This window comes from Homo sapiens, chromosome 17, assembly GCF_000001405.40.
Source record: "Homo sapiens chromosome 17, GRCh38.p14 Primary Assembly".
NCBI classification, from domain to species: domain Eukaryota; kingdom Metazoa; phylum Chordata; class Mammalia; order Primates; family Hominidae; genus Homo; species Homo sapiens.
In genome coordinates, this window is record NC_000017.11 from 45,833,974 (window position 1) to 45,859,406 (window position 25,433).

At 54.4% G+C, this 25,433-nt stretch overlaps 3 protein-coding genes and 1 long non-coding RNA gene across 10 annotated transcripts in view, besides 3 other annotated features; 3 read left to right on the forward strand and 1 right to left on the reverse strand.

The window, feature by feature from the left end:
• Positions 1-1,855, forward strand: part of LINC02210-CRHR1 (LINC02210-CRHR1 readthrough) — a 215,483-nt gene extending 213,628 nt beyond the window's left edge. For both annotated transcript variants that reach the window (NM_001256299.3, NM_001303016.1), the window contains 2 exons: positions 34-75; positions 651-1,855. In NM_001256299.3, the coding sequence (NP_001243228.1) occupies positions 34-75; positions 651-791 (183 nt within the window). In that variant the 3' untranslated portion in view covers positions 792-1,855. The remainder of the gene's footprint in view (positions 1-33; positions 76-650) is intronic.
• CRHR1 (corticotropin releasing hormone receptor 1) overlaps positions 1-1,855 on the forward strand; it is a 51,509-nt gene extending 49,654 nt beyond the window's left edge. For 5 of the 6 annotated variants that reach the window (NM_001145146.2, NM_004382.5, NM_001303020.2 and 2 more), the window contains 2 exons: positions 34-75; positions 651-1,855. In NM_001145146.2, coding sequence (NP_001138618.1) covers positions 34-75; positions 651-791 — 183 coding nt within the window. In that variant the 3' untranslated portion in view covers positions 792-1,855. The remainder of the gene's footprint in view (positions 1-33; positions 76-650) is intronic. The other variant, NM_001145148.2, reaches the window with a different exon arrangement.
• Positions 6,475-6,684: a silencer, noted in NCBI's record as "fragment chr17:43917814-43918023 (GRCh37/hg19 assembly coordinates)". NCBI's record gives its function as "represses an EF-1alpha promoter that drives an FKBP-Casp9 reporter gene in an ReSE screen in phorbol 12-myristate 13-acetate-treated (for megakaryocytic differentiation) K562 erythroleukemia cells {active_cell/tissue: K562(+PMA)}" and the evidence as "EXISTENCE:reporter gene assay evidence [ECO:0000049][PMID:32094911]".
• MAPT-AS1 (MAPT antisense RNA 1) overlaps positions 9,383-25,433 on the reverse strand; it is a 52,158-nt gene continuing 36,107 nt past the window's right edge. Inside the window, exon 2 of the long non-coding RNA NR_024559.1 lies at positions 9,383-10,188. This is a non-coding gene — a long non-coding RNA (MAPT antisense RNA 1). The remainder of the gene's footprint in view (positions 10,189-25,433) is intronic.
• Positions 10,830-11,814: an enhancer, noted in NCBI's record as "H3K4me1 hESC enhancer chr17:43922169-43923153 (GRCh37/hg19 assembly coordinates)". NCBI's record gives its function as "activates a minimal SCP1, AML or CMV promoter by ChIP-STARR-seq in primed H9 embryonic stem cells {active_cell/tissue: H9 hESC(primed)}" and the evidence as "EXISTENCE:reporter gene assay evidence [ECO:0000049][PMID:30033119]".
• SPPL2C (signal peptide peptidase like 2C) lies at positions 10,908-13,094 on the forward strand. Its single transcript, NM_175882.3, has one exon. It carries the CDS (start codon positions 10,934-10,936, stop codon positions 12,986-12,988), a length of 2,055 nt encoding a protein of 684 aa, NP_787078.2. The 5' UTR covers positions 10,908-10,933; the 3' UTR covers positions 12,989-13,094.
• Positions 11,815-12,798: an enhancer, noted in NCBI's record as "H3K4me1 hESC enhancer chr17:43923154-43924137 (GRCh37/hg19 assembly coordinates)". NCBI's record gives its function as "activates a minimal SCP1, AML or CMV promoter by ChIP-STARR-seq in primed H9 embryonic stem cells {active_cell/tissue: H9 hESC(primed)}" and the evidence as "EXISTENCE:reporter gene assay evidence [ECO:0000049][PMID:30033119]".

Sequence of the window (25,433 nt, forward strand, 5' to 3'; positions counted from 1 at the left end):
GCCGACCTTTGACGCCTCCTCTCTCCTCCCCAGGGCTTCTTTGTGTCTGTGTTCTACTGTTTCCTCAATAGTGAGGTGAGGACCCGGGGGCCCTGCAGCGGGGTTCAGGGCTGTGAGGCCTGTTGGGACTGGCGATTGTCTAGAGCCTTCTCCTCCCCTCCCAGGGCTGCCTCTCTCCCTCCCTGCTCCTAGGTCCCTAGGGGTATGCTGCTGGGAGCCCCAGGGTGGCCCCTCCCACCTGTCCACTCCCACAGTGACAGCCCCCTCCTTTGCTCTCAGAGGCCGCTGGCACCAGGCTGGAAGCCAGAGCTCCAGTATCTTTGATGAGCCTGTGAAAACCAGGAAGGGCTGAGCCCTGGGCAGGGGATACATGTGGGTTGAGGGCAGGGAGCCTTCATGGCAAAGGGCATATGGTGCCTTCGTGTGGGTTAGAAAAGGGTGCCCCTTCCCCAGGACATTTGAGAAACCTGTTCCGACAAATATGCAAAGCAGTCGTGTTAAGGCTGTGAGTGTCATCCCCTACTGAGGACTTCCATGTACTCAGCTGACCTGCACAGCCGCTTACCTGCACAGCTGCTCGTGGCGGCCCAGGGGAGGGAGGGGGTCCTGAGCCACAGGCTCAGATGTCGTGCTCCTCCCTGTGCCCACAGGTCCGTTCTGCCATCCGGAAGAGGTGGCACCGGTGGCAGGACAAGCACTCGATCCGTGCCCGAGTGGCCCGTGCCATGTCCATCCCCACCTCCCCAACCCGTGTCAGCTTTCACAGCATCAAGCAGTCCACAGCAGTCTGAGCTGGCAGGTCATGGAGCAGCCCCCAAAGAGCTGTGGCTGGGGGGATGACGGCCAGGCTCCCTGACCACCCTGCCTGTGGAGGTGACCTGTTAGGTCTCATGCCCACTCCCCCAGGAGCAGCTGGCACTGACAGCCTGGGGGGGCCGCTCTCCCCCTGCAGCCGTGCAGGACTCTAGCTCATGAGTGGAAAGTCACCTACAGGACTGGGCCGGGCCCAGGGCCTCTGGCTTCCCTGCCCAATCCTCCCTGGAGAAGGGACATGGGAATGAATTGAAATGGGGCGCTGGACACCTACAGCAGCACGCATGTCCCTCCAAGGCTGTCTTCTCCCAGAGCACAAGAAGGCCAGCCCACTGGGCCCTGGGGCTGCCCTCGGCAACCGTGGGGAGGCCATTTGCTGCCCTGGGGCATCATGGGCAACTCGTGACAGCCTCTGACTCACCACGATGACGCCTCTGGACCTCGGTGATGCCTTCCGACACCACTGGGAACCAAGGGCCCTCACTCAGGAACCCTGGAGACAGAAGTCAGGTGTCATCATCAGACTTGCGGCCACAGCACTAGAGTCACCCCCCCAGGCCTCCAGAACCTTACTGGCACTGTGGCACTGCCACCAGCAATGCCCTGCCTTGCTGCCTTCACCCTGAACATTTAGTACCCTGCAGGCCAGGCCAGCTTCCCCTCACTTAACCACCCCATACCAGTCACCTCCTGCTCCTTTTCCTCTTTTGTGAGAAGATGGGGGCTGGAGGGGGCAGAGTGGCCTGTGAGCAAGAGCCAGGGGTGTCCCAGTCCCAGCCTCTGGGGCAGAGCTTGTAGCCCTGGATGGCCTCTGGGGCAGGACCACTAGCTAAGCAAGCCAGGAGAAGACCCCTGCCCAAGTGGCTCTTGGGACAACGTGCTGCTTACACTCCAGGTGTGGACCGGCCGCAGCCCCCACTGACCTGCCCATGTCCAGAGGGACTGGACAGCCAGGGCAGGGCTTTGGGGGGCACTAGAAGATGAGGGTGTCGGCTGTGAGGCGGGTGGCTGGTATAAATAATATTTATCTTTTCAACCAGCATTTGTGAAGGCCTGGACTCCACAGGGGGCTGGATGGAGAGGGTGTCTCACAGAGGTGGGGGCTGCTTCCCAGCTTTCAGGGGCTGCTGTGTTGCTGAGAAACCTGACCCCACTCTCACCCCGGCAAGGATGGTGCCAGGAGAGCCCCTGAGGGCCGGGAGAGGGGTGAGGGCAGGAGGGAGGGCTTCGAGGAACAGGTGGGTCTGGCCAGGGCCCCCTTAGTTAGGGACAGCTTGTTGTGAGGAGGTGAATTAGAGGGAGAGGAGGGCCACGGTTAGGGATGCAGAGGAGGGACACCATGGGTCAGGGGAAGGAACAAAGGAGACGGGAGTGTGTCCCAGCCCCAGGCAGGAGCTGTGCTGATTGGTGGGAAGCAGAATTAGGATGCTGGGCCACTGGACAGGCTGTGAATGCAGCTGTCTCCACTAGGGCCGCCACAAGAAGCCATCCCTGAGACCCTGAGGTTTCTTGTGCAAACTCGAGGGAAGGGGAGTACAGAGAGGGCAACAGGGAGTGAAGCCAGGCAAGGAAGGCAGGGGAAAGGTGGGGGCTAGAGGGGGACACGGTAGCCTGTGAGCAAGAGACAGGTATGCCCCAGCCCTGGCCAGTGCCGCTCTGAGGTGGGTGGCACACTCAGGCTCCCCTGGCTTGCTGGCTTCAGTGCCCCCAACTCCGGGCCAGAGCTTGTATAGCCCTGGGTGGCCTCTGGGGCAGGACTGACACTCCAACACTGTTGTGGGCGCCTGGAGCTCCCTTCCGCTGGGGAAGCCCTCCCTCATCCCACCCAACAGGTGAGGGAGCTGGGGTATTTATCCACCATCTCCCATCAGCTGCGGGTTGAGGGCTGCTCCCAGGGGGACATGAACTCTTCTGCATTCCCACATCAGGCTACAGAGGGCCAGAGAGAGTTCTCCGGCACAGTGATGTGCGGGTGGGTGGAAGCCAGTGTGTGCTGCATTGGAGGGGCAGGGGGTGTGGGTGGAACACCAGAACTGGACACAGGGCCCCACTGCAGCCCGGGCCTTGTCTCTGGGTCTCTCTAACCAGGGAGGAGAGCCCCGTGGGTGGGACGTGTGTATACACATGTGCACTTGTGCACCCAGGCGCACACAAGAGCTTGCAGTGTCAGGACACCAGGAACAGACAAAGGTGACACAGTGCCGAAAGCCCCGCAGCTCCTGCTGAGGGAGGGCACGTTTCGTTGGGGAGGGCCTGGGCCCGGGTGTAGCTAAGGATATCCTTGAAGGCCCTATGGGGTACTCTGCTCTGCCAATTCTCCAAGCTCTGTGCCCTGAAGTAGAGAGATGGGGTGGGGGACCCAGGGAGCACCGTGACAGAGGTAGGCTGGAGGCTTCCAGAGCAACGTGGGGGATATTGTGGGGAGTGGGAAGAAGCCCAGTAAAGGGTCCTGGCTGCCTGGAGAGACTAGAAGTGACCTGAGTCTCTAATGGCCACAACGGAGACAGCTTTCCCAACTCTGCCTCTCACCCAGTGAAGGTGGAGAAGTGAGAAGGCGAGGCTTTCCCGAGACAATGCCAGTGGGGATGGGATGAGGGTCGCACCGCAGGGGTGGAGGAGCCGAGAGGGTGGGGGTGAGGGGAAGACAGGGAAGGGACGGTACAGACCAGGAAGTGTGGATAAGCCCAGCCAGGCCGCACCCCGCTTTCCTGAGTGGGCTTCCTGGCTGCTCTCACTGCCAGGCACCTTCTGGGCACCTACTGTGTGCTCAGCACTGTGCTAGGTCTTGGGTGAGAGATGAGCAGCCACCCAGGGGGGACCCCAGGGACCCCCCAAAAAACACAAAGCTCAGAGCCTCTGGCTCTGGAAGGCCACCAAGAGGACAGCTCCAAGACAAGTCTGAGGGTCATCGGAGAAGCTGGAGGCGGAATCCCTGGGCAGGCAGATGGAGCCTGGGGCTCCCCTCCCATTGAGAGAATCTGAGGGCGGAGGGGCTGCTTCAGGGAACAGCCAGGAACATCTGAGCCTCAGAACCTGCAGCCCAGAGGCCCAGAGTTCTATCATCTCCCATGGCAGACATGCGCTCTGGGCTTCGTCGCAGAGAAGGCAGCCCTGAGACCAGGCATCTGGGCCATTCTGCTCAGGTTCAGCTTGGGGTGGCGAGGCCCCTGTGGGAGTGAGTGGGGTGTGATGAGCCGAAAAACACACATGCGACTACACAAAGTTGGGGGAGCCACTGGGGACCCTCCAAGCTGCAGTGGTGGGGGAAGGTCGCTGGAGGCCCTCCCAGACCCGGAAGACCTCATGCCTGGAAGAATTTCTCTCCACACCATGCCTAAAGGCTGCGGTCCCCTAATGCTACCCCCACCTGAGCCCATTTCTCCTTGACGTCCTCCTTCATGGGCACAGAACAGTAGTGGAGGAAAAGCCCCACTGTTTTTCCAGTTCAGGCCACCCCCTCCCCGTCCCTTAGTGTGACAGCACAGCCCCTGCCCAGAGGTCCTCAGCCTCCCCTCCAGGCCTCCTTCTCTAGCCCCCTGCTACTGATGGCTCAGCTCTCCTGGGACCAGGACTGGGTGGAGAGTCAGATGGGGAAAACCATGTGTTAGCAGATGAGGTGGGTTTGGAATCCATAGAATAATACCTTCATTGTGGGTATTGTAGATTACTTTGCCATCCACAAACATCCTTATAACATTTGTCTTTTTTTTTTTTTTTTTTTTTTTTACTACGTGGGTAAATCTCTGTTCGGGGCTCTCAGCTCTGAAGGCTGTGAGACCCCTGATTTCCCACTTCACATCTCTATATTTGTGTGTGTGTGTCTTTATTTGTTTATTTTTATTATACTTTAAGTTCTAGGGTAATCCTCAACTAGCCCACAGAGGTAGTAACCCACCTGTTTTGCAGCCAGGGAAACTGAGGCCTGGCAGCTCCCCTAAGATTGAAGGTCTGGTTCCAAGTCTAAGGCTTTTTTCACCCCTCAGTGAACTGAAGGGGCTTGGGTTCTGGGAGGCCAGAACCAATGAAGAGCTCTGTGGCAAGAGGGCAGCAAGGAGGCCTCAGGGTCTCCGTGATCTGGGACGTGCCCCACGTGAAGATGGGACTTCCCCAAAGATGGCCCCACCAGTGTCCAGCCGCCGAGCAATGAGAGTTCTGTGGATCCAGCATCTCCTTCCCCAGCTTCCTGACATCCTCCACCCCCCAGCTCCTTAAAATGATGCTTAATTTCAAACAATGCAGCCGGGGCCACCATCAGCCACAGTGGGCCCCCCTACACCCCAGCCAAGGAGTGTGCTGCTGGCCTCCAGCCCAGGGGTACCTCAGAGCCAGCTCATCCAAACTGCCAACTGACTTCCAACTCAGCTGCCCACACTTGCTTCAAACCGAGGAGAATGCTTTCTACAATTTGCTAACAGCAACACTGATCATTATTGATTGTTTACCGGGCATCAGGTGCTGCTTAGCCCCTCACATGTTTATCTCATTGACTCTTTATACTGCCCTATGAGGCGGGGCTGTTATCCCCATTTAACAGATAAGGCAAATAAAACCCAGAGAGGTTAAGATACCTGCCTGATGGCACCCACGGATGGATGAAAAGCCAGGGAGGCCACACTAGGCATCCGTGAAGCTTAACCCCTATGCAGTGGGAGTTCTTAGTAAGGCTGTCCTCCCAGCCCCACTGCCCCTTCCAATCCCCTCCCCAGGGAAATCCTTCCATCCCCAGTCTGTGGTCAAACAGCATTCAGAGATGAGCTAGCTGAAGGAATTGGAGCCTGCGGAGCGTGGGCCTCGGGCAGCCCACTCCCCAAATCTGGCCTCCAAGCCAGCTCCACCTGCCAGTCTCCCGTCCCCAGCCCCATCCCAGCTCTACCTCAGAGCATCACCTCCCACCCCTGCCCTCAGCTCACCAACACCTGCAGGTCCTGCTGGCAGACCAGGCTCAAGAGAGGCCTGGGCCATATATATTTATCAAAGCTCTCAGTGGCTTGGGAACACCAATGAGACTATTATTTGGAGATAAGGCCAGAGACCACCCTTGGCTGCCAGATAGCAGCCCTACCGGCTTCTGTCCCTCCAAGGGGTCCTTGACTGATCCCTGCTGCCCAGCCTCATTGCCCATTGGGCCAAGGCAGGTGGAGCAGAAGAAGGGGTGGTGGCCTCTTAGGTGCCTAAGGAGCCCAGGTTGGGGGCACGGCAGGCATCAGCTAGGGTGAGGGGGCATGGGGGCAGCAGCTGGTGGGCCTGCCTGGCTCATCCTCATCACAGGGGAAGGGGGAGGGAGTGGATGGCAATCCACTCTAGAACATGCAGCGGGGAAGCTGCTGGGCAGGGCAGCAAGGGCAGGTGAGGGGCCAGGTGAACTAGGCCCCTTCCCCACCCTTCCTGAGACCTGCTGCCTGGGGCCTGCTGGCCCTGCTGCCCTGTGTGTTGAAGATAAATGTTCCAGGTGCACCTAGGTCCTCAAGTAGAAGGCAGAGACACTACCCCAGCCTGCTCTGGGCAGCCACCCCGAGAGCCCAGGCCATAGCTGAGGGGGCAGTAGGGTGGGGGGAGGGAGGGGGAGTTGTGGGGAGCAAAGTCACAGATACAGGGGGTGCCCTCCAGGAAAGGAGTTGAATCTGGAGTGGGGGTGGGGAGGGTGGCGGGACTGAAGTCTTGGAGCGGGATTTCAGCCTGGCAGTGGGCCATGGCCCCAAGGGGCATCAGCCACTCATGTGAGGGCACTGACCAGTGCTCTGAGTGGCCACCAGAGGAATGATTCCAGGGCTGATGGATGGGGGTGGGCACAGGGATGGGGGACCTGGGGAAGCAATGATCAAACATACCCACGAAAGCCTTCTGTGAGTGGGGTCCCAGGCAGAGTCTCGGAGGGAATGAGCCTTCTGCGAATTATCTGGGCCCTGGGCAACCAGTCCACGGGTAGATCTGGGAGAAGGGGCAGGAGCAAGCTCTGCTTGAGGTGTCTGTGCAGACCCCCAAATTGGGGCATGTGCTGGTGTGATGGAGTCCAGAAGAACTAAAATGAGACCTGTCCTGAGGAGAGAGCAGCTGGAGGGGACTGGAGTTGCTCCATTTCGTCTGGGCGCTGTGGCTCACACCTGTAATCCCAGCACTTTGGGAGGCCAAGGTGGGTGAATCACTTGAGGCCAGGAGTTCGAGACCAGCCTGGCCAACATGGTGAAACCCTGTCTCTCCTAAAAATACGAAAATTAGCTGGGCATGGTGGTGGTGCATGCCTGTAATCCCAGCTACTCGGGAGGCTAAGGCAGGAGAATCACTTGAACCCGGGAGGTGGAGGTTGCAGTGAGCTGAGATTGTACCACTGCACTCCAGCCTGAGGGACAAGAGCGAAATTCCATCTCAAAAAAAAGTCCCATTTCAACCATGTTAGTGCACAATTCAGTGACTTTAAATACACAATGTCGTGCAACTGAAACCACTGAGATAGAAAAAGTTCTGGAACTTCTTCATCACCCCAGATGGAAATCCCATACCCACCAGTCACTCCTCATTCTCCCCTCCCCCAGCCCCTGCCCGCCACGAATCTGCTCTCTGCCTCTGTAGATCTGCCTGTTTTGGCTGTTTCACGTAAGTGGAATTAATCGTACAATATGTGTCCTTTTGTGTCTGGCGTCTTCATTTAGCATAATGTGTTTCCACTTAGCATAATGTGTTTCGGCTTAGCATAATGTTTTCAAGGTCCATCCACATGGTAGCAGGTATCAAAACGTCATTCCTTCTTATGGCTGAATGCTATTCCCTTGTGTGGAGAGACCGCAGTTTCTCCATTCATCAGTGGATGGACATATGGGTTCTCTCCACCTATTCCAAGTTATCATGAATAGTCCTGCTATGAGCATGCATGTACACGCTTTTGTTTGAAGGCCTGATTTCAATTCTTTGGGATATATAGCTGGGAGTATAAGTGCTGGGTCATATGATAACTCTGCTTAACTTATCTAGGAACCACCAAGCTGTTTCCTGCAGCGGCTGCACAATTTTCCATTCCCACCAGCAGTGTATGAGGGTCCCAACTTCCCTATATCCTCGACAAAGCTTGTGATTGTCTGGGTTTTGTGACAAAGTGGGTGTGCTGGTTCTTGTTTTTTAAAAGATCCACGACTCCCTGCGTGGAGAACAGGGCCTGGAGTGAGGGTCTAGGTTGCCCATTCGTTGCTGGGGGGCCAGAAAGGGTTTTACTGTCACAGCCCTCCTGTGGCCTACAGGCGAGCCTCCCTCTCCTAACCACCCTCCTGCCAACCTCCCCTTTGAAATGGGAGCACTCGGAAGGGACAGCTGGCAGCCTCCTCCCCTGGGCTCTGCCTGCTTCTCCTCACACCGGCTGGTGGTTTGTTTGCCAGTCACTTGTATTTGTTCCTGAACATGTTTCTGACAGTTCACTTGTCATTGTAATTACTGTCGTAATCTAACTAAATGTTATATTACTGATGAATCAGAAGTGCACTAACAAGGAGAGATGTTTCTTATGAAAATTCAGTCTAATGCTTTGAAGGATACTTTACAAATGAGTCACCAAAAATATTGGCAAATTAGGTGTGGGTGAGATGAGTGTAAATAACTGGGTGAGAGAGAATTGTCAGAATCTCAGATGGGTTCCACTTGCTGACCACTTCACATGGCCCTTTAAACTCACCCTCCACTTCAAAGAATCCACAGCTGATGTTGGAGATGATGTTTCATCCCTGTGGATTTCCCAAGGAAAGCAGTTTGGGACTGCAAGAGATGGACCCGTAATAGAAGGAGAGGCCTTGACAGGCACGGTGGCTCACGCCTGTAATCCCAGCACTTTGGGGGACCAAGGTGGCTGGATCACCTGAGGCCAGGAGTTTGAGACCAGCCTGGCTAACATGGTGAAACCCCATGTCTACTAAAAATACAAAAATTAGCCAGGTATGGTGGTGGGCGCCTATAATCTCAGCTACTTGGGAGGCTGAGGCAGGAGAATCGCTTGAACTTGGGAGGTGGAGGTTGCAGTGAGCCAAGATTGTGCCACTGCACTCCAGCCTGCCTAGGGGACAGAGTGAGACTCCATCTCAAAGAGAAAAGAAGGAGAGTCCTTGAGAAAGATCAGTGATTGGCCAGGCACAGTGGCTTGTGCCTGTAATCTCAGCACCTCGGGAGGCTGAGGTGGGCGATTCACTTAAGGCCAGGAGTTCGAGACCAGCCTGGGCAAAATGGTGAGACACCATCTGTACTAAAATCACAAAAATTAGCTGGGCATGGTGGCACACACCTGTAATCCCAGCTACTCGGGAGGCTGGGTCGGGGGAGAATTGCTTGAAACCAGGAGGTGGAGTTTGCAGTGAGCTGAGATCGTGCCACTGCACTCCAGCCGAGCAACAGAGCAAGACCCTGTCTCAAAAAAAAAAAAAAAAAAAAATCAGCATGCTTACTCCTTAGAGGTTAAAATTACATGTGTGTTGTGGGGCTGCCCACAATTGTGCCCCCAAATAGGCATGTTGAAGTCCTAAACCCCAGTACCTGTTAATGCGACCTTATTTGGAAGTAGGGTGTTTGCAGACATAATCAAGTTAAGATGGTGTCATTAGGGTGGGCCCTAATCCATTATAACTATGTCTTTATAAAGAAGAGAAGAGACACAGAGACACACAGGGAGAATGCCATGTGACAACCTATGCAGAGACTGGAGTGACAGGCCAGGCCAGTGGGGAGAACATGAGGACAATGGAACCTGGACTGCCAAGCTCCAGCCCCCAAATCCCTCCCTTCTGGTTCCGGAGGCCCCAGGGTTACTCTCCCGCACACTAACTGCTTTGAAAACCTCATTCCTCAAATCTACTCCATCATGGGTGGCCTGAAGAAGCCTGGACAGGAGGTCCTGGGTGACCTGTGAGGGCATACACCACAGAGCTGGGTGCAAACCTGCAGAGCCAAAACCTGGGGCTCCTGGCTTCAAATCCACCTCTCACCAGTATTTGAGTTCTCTTTCCAGCGGAAAGTCTGCCCGGCCTCAGAGTTGCAGCCAGGAGAGTGGCTCAGAATCCAGCATGAAAACATTTGGAAGACATCAAGGTCCATTTAACCAGCACAAGAGCCCCAGCCTTCTTTGCTGTGTCAATGTGGGCTTCTCCAAGCCTCAGTTTTACTTATCCATGAAGTGGGTGTATTAAGGTAACGTTAAGTGGCTATAACAAAGAGACTCATGACAAATCAATGCCTTAAGGAAGATCATGTCTCTCTCTTGTAACAGTCCATAGTGCACATCCTGGGCTACTGTTCCACATGGAATCCAGGGACCTGGTTCCCTTCACTTTCTTCCTCTCCATTCCTTAGGACATTGTCCTCCTCGTCATAGACAGACACATCACAGGCCCGTCCTTGTTCTGACTCCTGAGAAAGGGAAAGAGAGGGTAAACCAGGAGCCCCACGGTCTGTCAGCCTAAGCCCCTGATGTAAAGAGTTCACATCATTTTTGCTTAATTTCTCCTGGTCACCTGTCCGTTCCCAACTGTAAATGGAGTTGGAGGTGAATTCTGGTCATGTGCCTGGTAGAAATGGGGACCAACTTTGAGGGACAGCCTCAGGCTGTGCAGATATAATGACACCTCCTTGCAACTGTGCAATAGGTACAGCTAGGGTACCTGGCGCCTAGTAAGCCCTCGGTAAAAGTGCTCAATGTTACTGAGCTCAGAGCTCCAAGGGACCTTAGAAACTCTCTGGCCCAACGTCCTCATTTCTTTACAGCTAAAGAAACAGGCCTAGAGAGGAGTGACATTGGCCTGTGTTCCCCATGGGTAAGGAGAAAAGTTGGTTCAGAATCCTATCTGGCCTGCAAACCCCATGCTCACACCTTTTATTTCAAAGTACCTGGTCTAAACCCACTAGGGTCTGGGCAGAGAGCAGGGTCCATATGACCTCTCCCCTGGTCTCCCAGGGTTGGGGGGCATCATTCTAGAGGGACCCTGTGCCCCACAGCAGCGCCCTCGGCTGGGGACCACACAGCTTTATGACTAGGTAGGTGTGGCCCTGGTTTCCAGGACAGGTGGCCAGACTGCTCTGTGACAAAGGGCCACGCCTGCCCCTGGGAGGGGTATTGGGCTGCCGCCCGCAGATGTTGCAGTAGGAACTGAAGAAGATGGCGTGCCTGGGCTTCCTCCTCCCCGTGGGCTTCCTCCTCCTCATCAGCACCGTGGCCGGGGGAAAGTACGGCGTGGCCCACGTGGTGTCGGAGAATTGGAGCAAGGACTACTGTATCCTGTTCAGCTCCGACTACATCACCCTCCCCCGGGACCTGCACCACGCCCCACTCCTGCCCCTGTATGATGGCACCAAGGCACCCTGGTGCCCGGGTGAGGATTCCCCCCACCAGGCCCAGCTCCGCTCCCCCAGCCAGCGGCCCCTCCGCCAGACCACTGCCATGGTCATGAGGGGTAACTGCAGCTTCCACACGAAAGGCTGGCTGGCTCAGGGCCAAGGTGCCCACGGGCTGCTCATCGTGAGCCGGGTCAGTGACCAACAGTGCTCAGACACCACCCTGGCACCCCAGGATCCCCGCCAGCCCCTGGCAGACCTCACCATCCCTGTGGCTATGCTCCACTATGCTGACATGCTGGACATCCTCAGCCACACTCGTGGGGAGGCCGTCGTCCGCGTGGCCATGTACGCACCCCCAGAGCCCATCATCGACTACAACATGCTGGTCATCTTCATCCTGGCTGTGGGCACAGTGGCTGCAGGCGGCTACTGGGCCGGCCTGACCGAAGCCAACCGGCTACAGCGGCGCCGTGCCCGAAGAGGAGGGGGGTCTGGTGGTCACCATCAGCTGCAGGAAGCTGCAGCAGCTGAGGGAGCCCAGAAGGAAGATAATGAGGACATCCCAGTGGACTTCACGCCGGCCATGACAGGCGTGGTGGTCACCCTGTCCTGCTCGCTCATGCTGCTGCTCTACTTCTTCTATGACCACTTTGTCTATGTCACCATTGGGATCTTTGGCCTGGGTGCTGGCATTGGCCTCTACAGCTGCCTGTCACCCCTGGTGTGCCGCCTGTCCCTGCGGCAATACCAGAGGCCTCCGCACAGCCTCTGGGCCTCTCTGCCGCTGCCTCTGCTGCTGCTGGCGAGCCTGTGCGCAACCGTGATCATCTTCTGGGTGGCCTACCGCAATGAGGACCGCTGGGCGTGGCTCCTGCAGGACACACTGGGCATTTCCTACTGCCTGTTCGTCCTGCACCGTGTGCGGCTGCCCACTCTCAAGAACTGCTCCTCCTTCCTGCTGGCCCTGCTGGCCTTTGATGTCTTCTTTGTCTTCGTCACCCCCTTCTTCACCAAAACCGGTGAGAGCATCATGGCGCAGGTTGCCTTGGGCCCTGCAGAGTCTTCAAGCCATGAGAGGCTGCCCATGGTACTCAAAGTGCCCCGGCTAAGAGTCTCCGCCTTGACCCTGTGCAGCCAGCCCTTCTCCATCCTTGGCTTCGGTGACATTGTGGTCCCCGGCTTCCTGGTTGCTTACTGTTGCCGCTTTGATGTGCAAGTCTGCTCCCGTCAGATCTACTTCGTGGCCTGCACCGTGGCCTATGCTGTGGGCCTGCTGGTCACATTCATGGCCATGGTCCTCATGCAGATGGGCCAACCTGCCTTGCTCTACCTAGTGTCCAGCACCCTGCTCACCAGCCTGGCTGTGGCTGCCTGCCGCCAAGAGCTCAGCCTCTTCTGGACTGGCCAGGGCAGAGCTAAGATGTGTGGGCTCGGCTGTGCCCCTTCAGCTGGCTCTAGGCAGAAGCAGGAGGGCGCAGCAGATGCCCACACAGCCAGCACACTTGAGAGAGGCACCAGCCGAGGAGCAGGGGACTTAGACAGCAACCCTGGAGAAGACACCACTGAGATTGTCACCATATCTGAGAATGAAGCCACCAATCCAGAGGACCGCAGTGATAGCTCCGAGGGCTGGAGTGACGCCCACTTGGATCCTAATGAGCTGCCCTTCATCCCCCCTGGGGCCTCGGAGGAGCTGATGCCACTGATGCCAATGGCCATGCTGATCCCACTCATGCCCCTGATGCCCCCGCCCTCAGAGCTGGGCCATGTCCATGCCCAGGCCCAGGCCCACGAGACTGGCCTGCCCTGGGCGGGACTCCACAAGAGGAAGGGTTTGAAAGTAAGAAAGAGCATGTCGACCCAGGCTCCCTTGTGAACTGGAGGCACTGGGACACACGCCTCTCAAAGGGCTGGTGGAACATTGCAGAGCAAAGCCATGCATGGCAACAAGAAATCAGGGTATCAAAGAGATTTCATATCTACCCAAGGAGTCTCTCTGTTTGTCGGGAGTGCAAGAGAGCAGCAACCACATAATAAGAGTGTGCAGGGCTCGAAGGGTCCTTAGGAGTGGGCACCACCCCCAAATAATGAAGGGGGGAAACTGAGGCTCCAAGAGGGCCTATGACTTGCACAAGTTCAAGCGGCAAGGTCGGGATTTGCATCCAGGGCTCACTGGGCAGCTACTCCCCTCTGCCTGCTTGCCCAACCCCTTCCCAATCCAGAGTGGCAGCTTCTTAGCCTGGCACACAGCCCCCATCCCATCCCTGCCACCCACCCTAGGCTCATTGCCCATCTTCTCTCCATGCTCAGGTCAAACAGAACTCCTTGTCCTCCCCACCCGCTCTCTCTGCATATGCTGTTCCCTCCAGCTGGGATGCCCTTCCCTCTCCAGACAGAAACACTCCAGCCTGGCTCCCTGACTCACTAGAAGATTCCGAAGCATCCTTTACTCCTCAGCTCACATCCATTCTGCAAAACGTCTCTGTTCAAGAATCCCAGGCAGCAGCACCAAGCCCAGCAAGTTCCTGTATGCACCACCCATTCCATCTTCAGGCATTGAGTATGCCCCTACTATGTGCATCGCCATGTGGTGGGCACAGGGAAGGCCTCTGTCTAGCTGGGGGAGGGGGAGGGGTGGGCAGACAAGAAACAAACTTAGAATTGTCTCAAAGAGGTCGGGAGGGGTTGGAGAGGTTGGGCCCAGGGTGGAAGAATTCCGGAGACCAAGGCCTCCCTCACTGACTCTAAGTAATGTTCAAGCCTCGTTGGGTCTCTGTAGTCTCATCTGCAAAATGAGACTTATAATACCATTTCCATCTGGAGGCAGGGGCATGGACGAGATGACCTCCTAAGGACTCTACAGGCTTTTAGGCCATGTAGGGTGCTGATGTGTTGCTTAATCAGAGCAGACAAACTCTGGGGTGAGAAGGCTTCCTGGAGGAGGTGTTTTTGGAGGGGAGGAAAGTGTATCCCAAGAGGCGGTGTGGTTCAGTGGTTAGGGTTCTACAGCCAGGCTGCCTACCACAAATCCCAGCCCTACCACTGACTTGGAGTATCTCACTGAGCAAATGACTTATCCATTCAGTGCCTCTGTTTTCTTGTGTGTGAAATGGGATAATAGGACCTACCATCTGGTTCTTAGGAAGTTTGAACGAGTTGGCCTATGTCAGGTGATTGGCACAATGCCCTGCCTGTCCGAAGAGCCCCCTGCACGTGAGCTATGTTTATATTGCTCCCCTAGTGAAAGCCTCACAGACTCAAACCCAGCTCCTACAAGACCTTGAGGTCCCAGCCCAACGGCCCTCTTCCACCCCTCCAAACCCCTACCGCCACAAGCACACGCCAGACCCACCACACCCCCCATGCTTTTTCCTCTTCTTGGAACTCTCTTTCTGCCCCTTCCTTACCACGCCCCGTGAACTTGGCCTGGCTGGCTGCTCCTCTTCGCAGCCTTTCCTAAAGCATCCCTGTCTCAATCACACGACCAGGCACCTTTAGTTTTCCGATCTTCCCCGGTAGAGGGCCAGCTTTGGAAGGGCAGGGGCCTTGCCCATCTTGTTCATCTGTGTAATTTCAGGGCTCAGAACAGCCCCTGGAGTGTTACAGGTGCTTGATGTATTTGCTGGAGGAATGAACGGATGGATGAATGAATGAATGAATGAATGAGGAGTTGACCAGCCTGAACTGCAGAGGAGGGAATGCTATGAGGGAAGGCCCCACTGCCCAGGCCACCTCACAGGCTTCCTGCAGGACCTTGGTCAGTGTTGACGTGAGACTTGGCAGGCCTGGCTGGGCCCTGGAGTGGGGAGAGAGTCCCAGGGAGGCAGTGCAGGTGGTGGGCCTCTCAAAGCCCCGCTTGCCAGGGAAGAAGTGCAGCCTCTCGGTACACAGCAGCTGAAGGCCCGCTAGACAAGGGAAGCTTGGAGAACCCGGCCAGGCCACTGCGGAGGTGTTGGCAGCCCCTCCCACCGGAGCAGTGGCCATCTGGCCTGGACAGAGGGCCCTCCGCAGGCCCTGGCTCAGCCCCAGCCTGGGCAGCCTCCCTGCTGCTGGCCTGCGTCACGGGGCCTGCCGAGGGCAGCTGCACCCTCTGCCAGGCCCGATGGGAAGGGCTGGACAGAGCCGAGGCCTCCTGGGCTCCCTGGCCCCCACATCCCCCAAAGCAGGAGGTCAGGATAAAGGAACTTCTCTTTCCCAGAAATCCAGTCTGAGGGCTCTGAGGATGCAGGCCTGGAGCTCCGCAGGCCTGCAGGGAGGCCAATGCCTACCTCCAAGGAGAGGGGATTCAGGGAGGGTCTGGGTCAGGAGGCCTCCCCCTTCCCGGCATCCAGACCTGATGGGGAGGTGAGGGCCCACACGGCCTGGATCTGCTGCCTCCATCCCTCTTCCCCAACCCCCAGCTTGCTGCACTGTGCTTGGGCAGCAGAACTGAGGTGCTCACAGGGTCCCAAGGCCAGGCCTGGGGTGGACAGCAGCCCAGGGTGCAGTGGCATCACAGTGCCCAGGTAGCTCTCAGCTCTGCTTCTCACTGGGAATTCGTCCTAGTCACCTAAGTTTCACCACCCCCTCCCCCTGCTGGTTCCCTAGTGTGGCCACAGCCAGGACTGACCAATGTCGGGGACCTCTATGAAGGACACCCCAGCTCCAGAGCTCCCGAGGGCTCACTGGGGCCCCAGCCAACCGGCCCCGAGGCCCAGCTTCATCCTCACCTTCCTGCAGACCTCACTCCCTCGCAAGCATCTCCCCTGAGACCACTGCCCAGCACCTCCCACCCAGCATGCTCCTGAGGTTCATTCCCAGGGAGCCCAAGCTAAGACACAGGGACAGCTGCCTTCTACGTGTGAACTGGAAAAACTATGTGAGTCCCCCCACACACCCCTACATCCTCCAAGCTCTTCTGCCCTGCTCAGGAAACAAGTGTGGAGACGGGGCTGGAGGCAGGTGATGGGCAGGACCTTTCTTCTTCCTCCCAAGAATACTCTGCAGCAACTCTGCCCATTTCACAGATGGGGCTGGGCAAGGACTCTGGGTCTAGAGGCAGCTTGAGGGTTTAGAAAGAGGCACCCAAGCACGGCTGCAGGTCAGAATCATTGGGGCACCTGCCAAAAATCTGGATTCCTGGCCCCACCGATTCTGAGTTGACAGGTCTGGGGTGGGACCAGGCATCAACCATTTTGAGGGACCCCCACCCCCACCCCAGGGTGAACACCTTTAGAGTTTGGCTTCAGCCTCTTGTCTTGGCTGGGCCAGGAGGAGATGGGGAGGAGGGAGACCAAGGCTTCAAGGTGCCGGGGGCCCAAGGCAGGTCCTGCCTTCCATCCTGACATACACATTCAGCTGGGGGCCCTGCAGGCTCCCCTCCCTGAGCCCTGGGTACACCTGACCACACCCGGAGGCTCAACCTCCACCTTGCTCCCCTGGCCAATCCCGGTCTGGGGCAGGAGAAATTGAAGCAACTTTACCAACCAACAATCTTCACTTAACCGCCACATTTCTCAACCCCCACCCCACTCTCTAGCATGTCCTCTGAGGCAGACTTTGTCCTGTTTTGTTCATCATGCACTGGACCTGGCACATAGTAGGTGCTCAATAAAACATCTGTTGAATGAATTCACTGGCTGGATGAATGTCCCCCTTACTAGCTGTGTGACTTTGAGGATGCAAAAGTCTCCTTACCATAAAGTGGGCGTAATAACACCTCCTGCCCCAGGGGTTGTGGTAAGTAATAAGCCATATGGGTGAGGAGCTGAGCCCAGTGCCCGGCACAGAGTCAAGTCTCCTAGATCTTGCCCTGCTGCCCCTGCTGTGCCCTCTGATGGCCCAATGTCCCTACTCCTGCCCAGAGGCCTCCTCTTACTCTGCCAGTCCTCTTCCCAGAGGACAGGGCCAACTCCAGGTGTCCAGACCACGCTGCCACCTGCCAGCGGTGCCCAAAGCTGGAAGCCCCTGCCTGAATGCCAGAGGGACACAAGATACTGCGCATGGGCATATACACACACGCATGCACACACATTTGCATACATACATATACACATGGGCACATACCCATGCTGCACACTTCACACACCCCCACACCCCACACCTGCACACATATACACCCATGCGCACATCCACACACATATACCTGTACTGAACACATGCACATGCCCCGTGCACACCTGTTCACACCCAACACGTGCACACACACACACACACCTCTGGGCTCTGACCTGCTGCGTGTGGTTCCCTACAGATCCAGCCTTTCCCCACCAGGCCTTTCCTGGGCTTACAGGAGTGGGGGTGCTGATCCCTGGATTTCCCATCCCAAAGGACAGGGTGGTCAAGGTCCCTCCCTGCAGGCCTACCCCTTTCCTGGTGGAACAGATCCCCCTTCAAGACAGAACTCGCTGCCCAGCTGCTCTGAGGAGTGTGGTTCGAGGACAGCCTCCTGGGGGCACCTCAGCTTTCTAGCCCGGCTCACTCGTGCTCTTCAGGGGAGGGGGCACAAAGGGCCGGTTACTGGCTGAGCAAGACAGGGGCCCAGGCCCTGGCTGTCTCCACCCAGAGTGGTCTTTGCTTTGATCCCATGGGCTGGCAGAGGCAGCACAGGGCTGCATCCCAGGCTGCCGGCTCCCCGTGCTGCAAGCTGCTTCCTCCTGGCTCCACCACTAACCACCACAGCACCTGCTTCCTGGACAGCCTCACCTGTGATAGGTGAACCCTCAGATGAGACCAGGGCAGGAATAGCCTCCTCAAGGCCACCCCCAGGGCCCCAGGTGGCCCAGCCTCAGGGTCGAGCTGTTTTACACAGGCCAACTGGCATTTCTGTCTGTGACCTTGGTAATCCCAGCACCAGCTTTATGAGCATGGGCTTGGTTTTCTTTTGTTCATGAGAGGGTTTAGTACTGGAGCTTCTGGATTTCTGGGACAGTGGGGACCAGCAAGGACCTGTGAGATGATCTCATCCACAGATGAGGAAAGGAAAGCCCAGAGAGGGCCAGGACCTGCCCAAGGTCACACAGCAATGGGACAGCAGAAACGAAATGCAAGTCTGGTCTCCTGCCTCCCAGCCCAGCAGCTGGGACCAGCTCTCATCCTCAACAGCCCCTCCCTCCACACACCCTGGTCTCTGATTTTGTTCCTCTGAAATCACACCTCCCCCAGGAAAACTCTGGGTCTACCCACTCCTGTGCCCTGGGAGGTATAGCCCCACATTCTCCTTGAGAAGTATCTGTGTGTGTTGCTTGATAAAGGTTCAGCATCAATCCGCTTGCCAGCTAGAAGGAGAACACAGCTGGACTTTGAGACCTGGGTTCAAAGCCCCACATTGCTTTCTCTTGTCATGTGATGCTGGACAACAGAAGCCAGCCCTCTGAGCTTCAATTTTCTCATCTGTAAAATGGGCTGCTAAGACTCACCTAATGGTTCGTTGTAAGGATTAAATGAAGTGAAGTATGTGTATGAACAGCTAACACTGGCTAAGCACTTACAGCAGGGCAGATAAATGCATTATCTCATTACGTGTGACCCAGGTTTGGGGAAAAACTTTCCAGGACAGCACCTGACATACCCCCAAATGCCGTCTTCCCCAAATGAGCTCCCGGAAGTGGAGTCATCCTCTTCCCTTGGTCTCCCCTGCCCACGCTCACTGGGATGTGGTGTGTGGGTGGGTGCCTGGTGGTAAGCAGGGCACCACCGCAGAGCCAAGAAAAGGTTTCCCAAATTCCCCCACGTACTGGGTCCTGCAGTTTAACTGAACCACCAACGTTTTGCGCCTTTTTTCCTGCAACCCTGAACCTTGAATGCTCCTGTGCTGCCACCTACTGGCCAGGAAGATAAGAGCAAGCAGGGGCTCATGGAATTTGGGGATAATTATAATCAGTAATGATATTTAAAATATGTTTAATAAACTAGCAATCAGCAGAGTTCTGAAGCCCCTATTGGGCTCAAGGTTAACGCTTTAGAATCTGGGTTGTTAGAAGGGTGAGGTGCCCTGGAGGAGGTTATTTTGATATTTTATTGAATGAAATAGCCCAAAACAGCATCACTGAATGTCCTTAATGCCTAAAGACGGTCCATGCCCTGACACTTACCCCACCCCATAGAATCAGACCACCATGAATAAGTGTCCTCAGGCCCCCCGGTTCCTGGACTATTTGTACGCAAGATGAGGAGACTCCCCATATGGCCCCTCCCCACCCCCACCCCCAGGTCCAGACCCAGTCCTTGCCCCTGGAACGGGACCTGGAAGGGAAGCAGACAGCTGGGGCTGCTGCTGAGAGAACCTTGGGCTGCTAAAATCTGAGACGTTCTGAGTTTTTGTTTTTGTTTTGGTTTGGCTTGGTTTGGTTTGTTTTTTGAGACAGGATCTTGCTCTGTCACCAAGGCTGGTGTGCAGTGGCATGATCACAGCCCACTGCAGCCTCAACCTTCCAGGCTCAGGTGATCCTCCCACCTCAGCCTCCCCAGTAGCTGGAACTACAGGCATGCGCCACCATGCCCTGCTAATCTTTGTGTATTTTTTGTAGAGATCGGGTTTTGCCATGTTGCCCAGACTGGTCTCCTAGGCTCAAACAATCCTCCCGCCTTGGCCTCCCAAAGTGTTGGGATTACAGGTGTGAGCCACTGAGCCTGACCTGAGACCTTGTTCTGAGAAATGCCTTTAAGTAGTATTCCCCAGGCTCCCAAAGACTTGAATGGCAGCAAAGATTGGTGGGGTTTGGGGGATTGCAGTGAGGTCTGAATAATGGTGTTGGCAGAGCCTCCAGTGATCATCCAGAACTGAGGACAGAGAGGGAAAGCAGCCTGCCCAAGGTCAGACAGCAGACCCAGTGACAAGCCCAAGGCAACCGAGAACCTGGAAACTAATGCAGAAACCCTTCGTAAACAGGAGACGCTTTCTGGTTTGCCTTTCAGAGGCTGCTTCATGAAGCCCCCAAATTCCCCCACATACTGGGTCTTCTTAAAGCAGGAGGCCCCTGGGTCCAGAGAGAAAAGAACTCTGAGCAAAACCCTCAGTCCCTCGTCCAGCCTGGACCCAGGCTTGGCCCTGCCTGCAGTTCCTGACTTGACCCAGACACTGTAGTGAACTCAGGCAGGAGGGGCCACACCTGAGAACCCTCACCCATCACAGCCCAGGTTCTCTTCCCGGCTATCCCCCGGGACAGCCCCAGAGCATGAGCCAAGGGAGTCTGGTCTCCACCTACCTTGCTTAATCCTTAAAGCCAGTTGTGACACATTGAATAATGTCCTCCCCCAAAAATTTGGAACCTGTGATCATTACCTTCCATGAAAGGGAGCAAAGGAGAAAGGACTTTGCGGAAGTGACTAAGCGAAGGATCCTGAGATGGGGAGATAATCCTCTATCGTCCTAGCGGGCCCTAAACGCAAGCACATGGGCCCTTATGAGAGAGAGAGGGAGAGAGAGAGAGACAGAGACAGAGGAGAAGCTGGGCGCAGTGGCTCACGCCTGTAATCCCAGCACTTTGGAGCCCAAGGCAGGTGGATCAATTGAGGTCAGGAGTTTGAGACCAGACTGGCCAACACAGCGAAACCCTGTCTCTATTAAAAACACAAAAATTAGCCAGGCATGGTGGCACATGTCTGTAATCCCAGCTACTTGGGAGGCTGAGGCAGGAGAGAAAGCTTGAATCCCAGAGGCGGAGGTTGCAGTGAGGGGAGATTGCACCACCGCACTCCGGCCTTGGTGACGGAGTGAGACTCCATCTCAATAAAAAAAAAAAAGAGAGAGAGAGGACTGGGTGCAGTGGCTTATGCTTGTAATCCCAGCACTTTGGAAAGCCGAGGCAAGTGGATCACCTGAGGTCAGGAGTTCGAGACCAGCTTGGACAACATGGTGTAACCCTGTCTCTACTAAAAATACAAAAATTAACCGAGCATGGTGGTGGGTGCCTGTAATCCCAGCTGCTTGGGAGGCTGAGGTAGGAGAACTGCTTGAACCCGGGAGGTGGAGGTTGCAGCGAGCCGAGATTGCGCCACTGCACTCCAGCCTGGGCAACAGAGCGAAGCTCTGTCTCAAAAAAAAAAAAAAAAAGAGCTAGAGAGAGAGACAGAGGAGACAGCAGGATTACACACATGGAAGTGGAGAAGGCAATGTGGTGATGGAGACAGATTGGAGTGATGTGGCCACAAGCCAAGGACTGCCAGCAGCCAGCACGAGCTGGAAGGGGTAAGGAATGAATTCCCCCTAGAGCTTCCAGAGGGAACACAGCCCTGACCCCTTGATTTCAGCCCAATGATCCTGATTCCAGACTTCTGGCCCCCAGAGCCGTGAGAGGGTATATTTCTGTCGTTTGAAGCCATCAGGCGTGTGATCATCTATACAGCAGCCACAGACGCGAATCCAGGGTTCAACAGACATCTGTGGCACAGGCTGCCCTTGCGCCCAGAGCTGTGCCTGAGAAGTAAATGGCTCACAGAGCAGACAAGATGAAGACATAACCCAACCACAAAAGCCCCCTGGCCCGCCGGGTATACTTTCCTGCAGGGGAAAGGTGGGCACAGGGGAGTCAGGGAAAGAGAGGCGAGAACTGGAGTCTTGGCTGCAACAGCCAGTGAGTGCATTCTCAGTTCAAGCCACTGCACTGGGCTCCAGGGACTTCTTTCCACTGTTATTGATTGCACTCTAGAGGAAAATTGGAAAGCACAGGAAAGTAGAAAAAAAAATCCACATTACTATAAGCTTTTGTTTTATTTCCATCCAGTCATTTGTTTTCCCCACGCATAAGGGTTTGGTTTTGTTTTTATTTTTTTAATTGTGGTAAAATACACATAACAAAATTTATCAAAGTGTACAGCTCAGCAATATTATTGAATACACTTACAATGTTGTGCAACTAGCACCACCATCCATTTCTAGAACTCTTCATCTTGTCAAACGAAATTCCATACCCACAAACAATAACTCTCATGCCTTCCTCCCCAGCCTCTGGCAACCACCATTCTACTTCCTGTCTCTATGATTTTGACTACCCTAAGTGCCTCATATAAGTGGAATCACACAGAATTTGTCTTTTTGTGACTGACTCATTTCATTTAGCATAATGGCCTTAAGGCTCATCCATGTGGCAGCATACTGCAGGATTCCTTTCCTTTTTAAGGATGAGTAACATTCACTGTGTGTATGCACCACATTTTGCCTAGCCATTCATTCCTCTGTTGGTGGAAACTTGGGTTACTATAAACATTGGTGTGCAAATATTAGATAGTGCAAAATTTATTGTGGTTTTTGCCATTACTTTCAATATCTCTGAGGCCCTGTTTTTAGTTCTTTGGGTTATATACCCAGAAGTGCAATTTCTGAATCACATGGTAATTCTATGTTCAATTTTTTGTTTATGTATGTATGTATGTATTTATTTATGTATGTATGTATGTATGTATGTATTTATTGGGAATGGGGTCTTGCTGCATTGCTCAGGGTGGTCTCGAACTCCTGGGCTCAAGCAATCCTCCCTCAACCTCCCAAGTAGCGGGGATTACAGGCATGAGCCCCTGGCTTTATGGTGTTTGTTTGTTTGTTTGTTTGAGACAGGGTCTTGCTCAGTAATCCAGGCTGGAGTGCAGTGGCACGATCACTGCTCACTGTAGCCTTGACTTCCTGGGCTCAAGCAATCCTCCCACTTCAGTCCCCCAAGTAGCTGGAACTACAGGTGCACACCACTATGCATGGCTAATTTTTTTTTTTTTTTTTTTTAGTGGAGATGCGGTCTCACTATGTTGCTCAGGCTGGTTGTGAGCTCCTGAGCTCAATCGATCCTCCTGCCTCAGCCTCTCAAAGTGCTGGGATTACAGGTGTAAGCCACGGTGCCCAGCCTCTGTTTAATTTTTTAAGAGATTGCCATACTGTTTCCATAGAGACTATAGCATTTTACATTCCCACCAATAGTGCACATGTGTTCCAATTTCTCTACATCTTCATCAATACCTATTTTCTGGTTTTGGGTTTTTGTTGTTGTTGTTTGTTTGTTTGTTTGTTTTGAGACAGAGTTTCGCTCTTGTCGCCCAGGTTAGAGTACAGTGGCACGATCTCGGCTCATGCAACTTCCACCTCCTGGGTCCAAGCCATTCTCCTGCCTCAGCCTCCCAAGTAGTTGTGGTTACAGGTGTGCACCACCACGCCTGGCTAATTTTTGTGTTTTTAGTAGAGACAAGGTTTCACCATGTTGGCCAGGCTGGTCTCAAACTCCTGACCTCAGGTGATCCATCTCCCTCAGCCTCCAAAACTGCTGGGATTATAGGCATAAGCCACCATGTCCAGCCAATTTTCTGGGGTTTTTTTGTATTGTTTTTTTGTTTTTTTTTTTTAATAGCAGTCTTCTTAATAGATATGAGGTAATATCTCATTATAGTTTTGATTGGCATTTTTCTAATGCTCATTTTTCCATGTGCTTATTGGCCATTTGTCTTTTTAAATGGAGAAATGTATTTTCAAAACCTTTGTCCTTTTTTGAATCAGGTTGTTTGTCTTTTAGTTGTTGAGTTTTAGAAGTTCTCTATATATTCTAAATATTAATCCTTTATCAGATATATAATTTGCAAATATTTTCCTCCATACTGTGGGTTGCCTTTTTACTCTGTTGATAGTGTCTTAGGATTAACAAAATTTTTTTAACTTTTATGAAGTCTAGTTTTTCTTTTTTATGAAGTCTGTTGTCTGTGCCTTTGGTGTCATATCTAAGAAATCATTGCCAAATTCGATGTTGGTAAGCTTTTGCCTGATGTTTTCTTGTAAGAGTTCCATGCATAGGTTTATTATTTGTTCATTTCAGTCCCAAGATGTCATCTGTCACCCAGGCCATCTGAATCCTTGTTAAAGAAAAGGGCACAACTGTTCTTTGTCATGTCCATCCAGCTGCAGGACTTCTGATACCTCCCTACCATTTGTCAAACCAACCCCAACTCCTCAGCCTGGTGTTTAAGGCCATCTGCATCCAGCCTTCCCTCCTGACTGGCCTTCCCTCCACTGGCCCCTATACATCCTGTTCACATGGCTCTTCTCACACGCTCACCCTTGCTCCGTGCCTCTGCTCACCTGGAATGAGCTTCTTCCACCTTCCTCTAATTCCTATAAACAAGAATCCACTGAGACAGTCCACATTCCAGGGCCCCTGTGCTGGGCCCTGTCCAAGGTCCTGGAGATGAACATAAACAAGATGTGAGAGTGGCGGGAGAGGGTCATGGATGCATTCTCTTTAAGACTCTTTCGGCTTTGAAGAATAAGAAACTGCTCAAAGTAGCTTAAGCCAAAAGAGAAGCATATTTGAAGGGACACAGGAATTTCTCAGAACAGAAGGGCAAACAGCCCAGTCAGGGCTCATGGGAACTGGGAATTAGAAAGCTTTCTGCCTCGCCGAGCTTCATAATCTCTGGGCCTCCACTTCCTCTTCTCCCCTCCCTGGGCTGGCTGCCTCTGCTCACCCATTTTGCCCTTGTCTCGTCATGCCACTGGCCCCCAACTCCACGTCATTGCCTCTCAGCCCAGGGGTCACCAACAACAGGCAACGGTGTCTATGCAGCCACATTTCAGACTCTCTCGAGAGAATCTACCTGGCTTCCACACTCTCTAGGGACCCTATTTGTTTGGCATCCTGTCACTGACTGTGGGTGAGCCCATGGGTCCCTGACTCAGGTGCCCACCCCAGGTCCAATCAGCTGTGGCTGGAGAGGGAGGGTGAGGAAGGCAGGGGCCACTGGATCACAAGGTTGTTCTTCCTGGAGATTGCTTCTCCCGGATCAGAGTCTGAATTTTATCAGGATCCCTGGGTGAATCATGGGCAGATTAAAGTGTAAGAAGCAGGCCGGGTGCAGTGGCTCAGCCCTGTAATCCCAGCACTTTGGGCCAAGGCAGGAGGATCACTTGAGGTCAGGAGTTCGAGACCAGCCTGGATAACGTGGCAAAACCCTGTCTCTACTAAAAATACAAAAATTAGCCAGGAGTGGTGGTGCGTGCCTGTAATTCCAGCTACTCAAAAGGCTGAGGCAGGAGAATCACTTGAACCCAGGAGGCAGAGGTTGTAGTAAGCCGAGATTGTGCCACTGCACTCTACCCTGGGCGACTGAGACTCTGTCTCAAAAAATAAATAAATAAGTGAAAACAAAAATAATAAAGTGTAAGAAGTGCAGCTGTGGAGCTGCGGTTCTCCGAGAGTGGTCCCTGATCCAGCAGCCTCTGCATCACTGGGCAACTTGTTAGAAATGCAGATTATGGGCCGGGTGCGGCGGCGCATGCCTGTAACCCCAGCACTTCCGGAGGGCGAGGCGGGTGGATCACCTGAGGTCAGGAGTTCAAGACCAGCCTGGCCAACATGGTGAAACCCCGT

Bases quoted from the DNA above. Each gene is read 5' to 3' on its own strand.
- SPPL2C (NM_175882.3), top strand. From the start codon at position 10,934: ATGGCGTGCCTGGGCTTCCTCCTCCCCGTGGGCTTCCTCCTCCTCATC.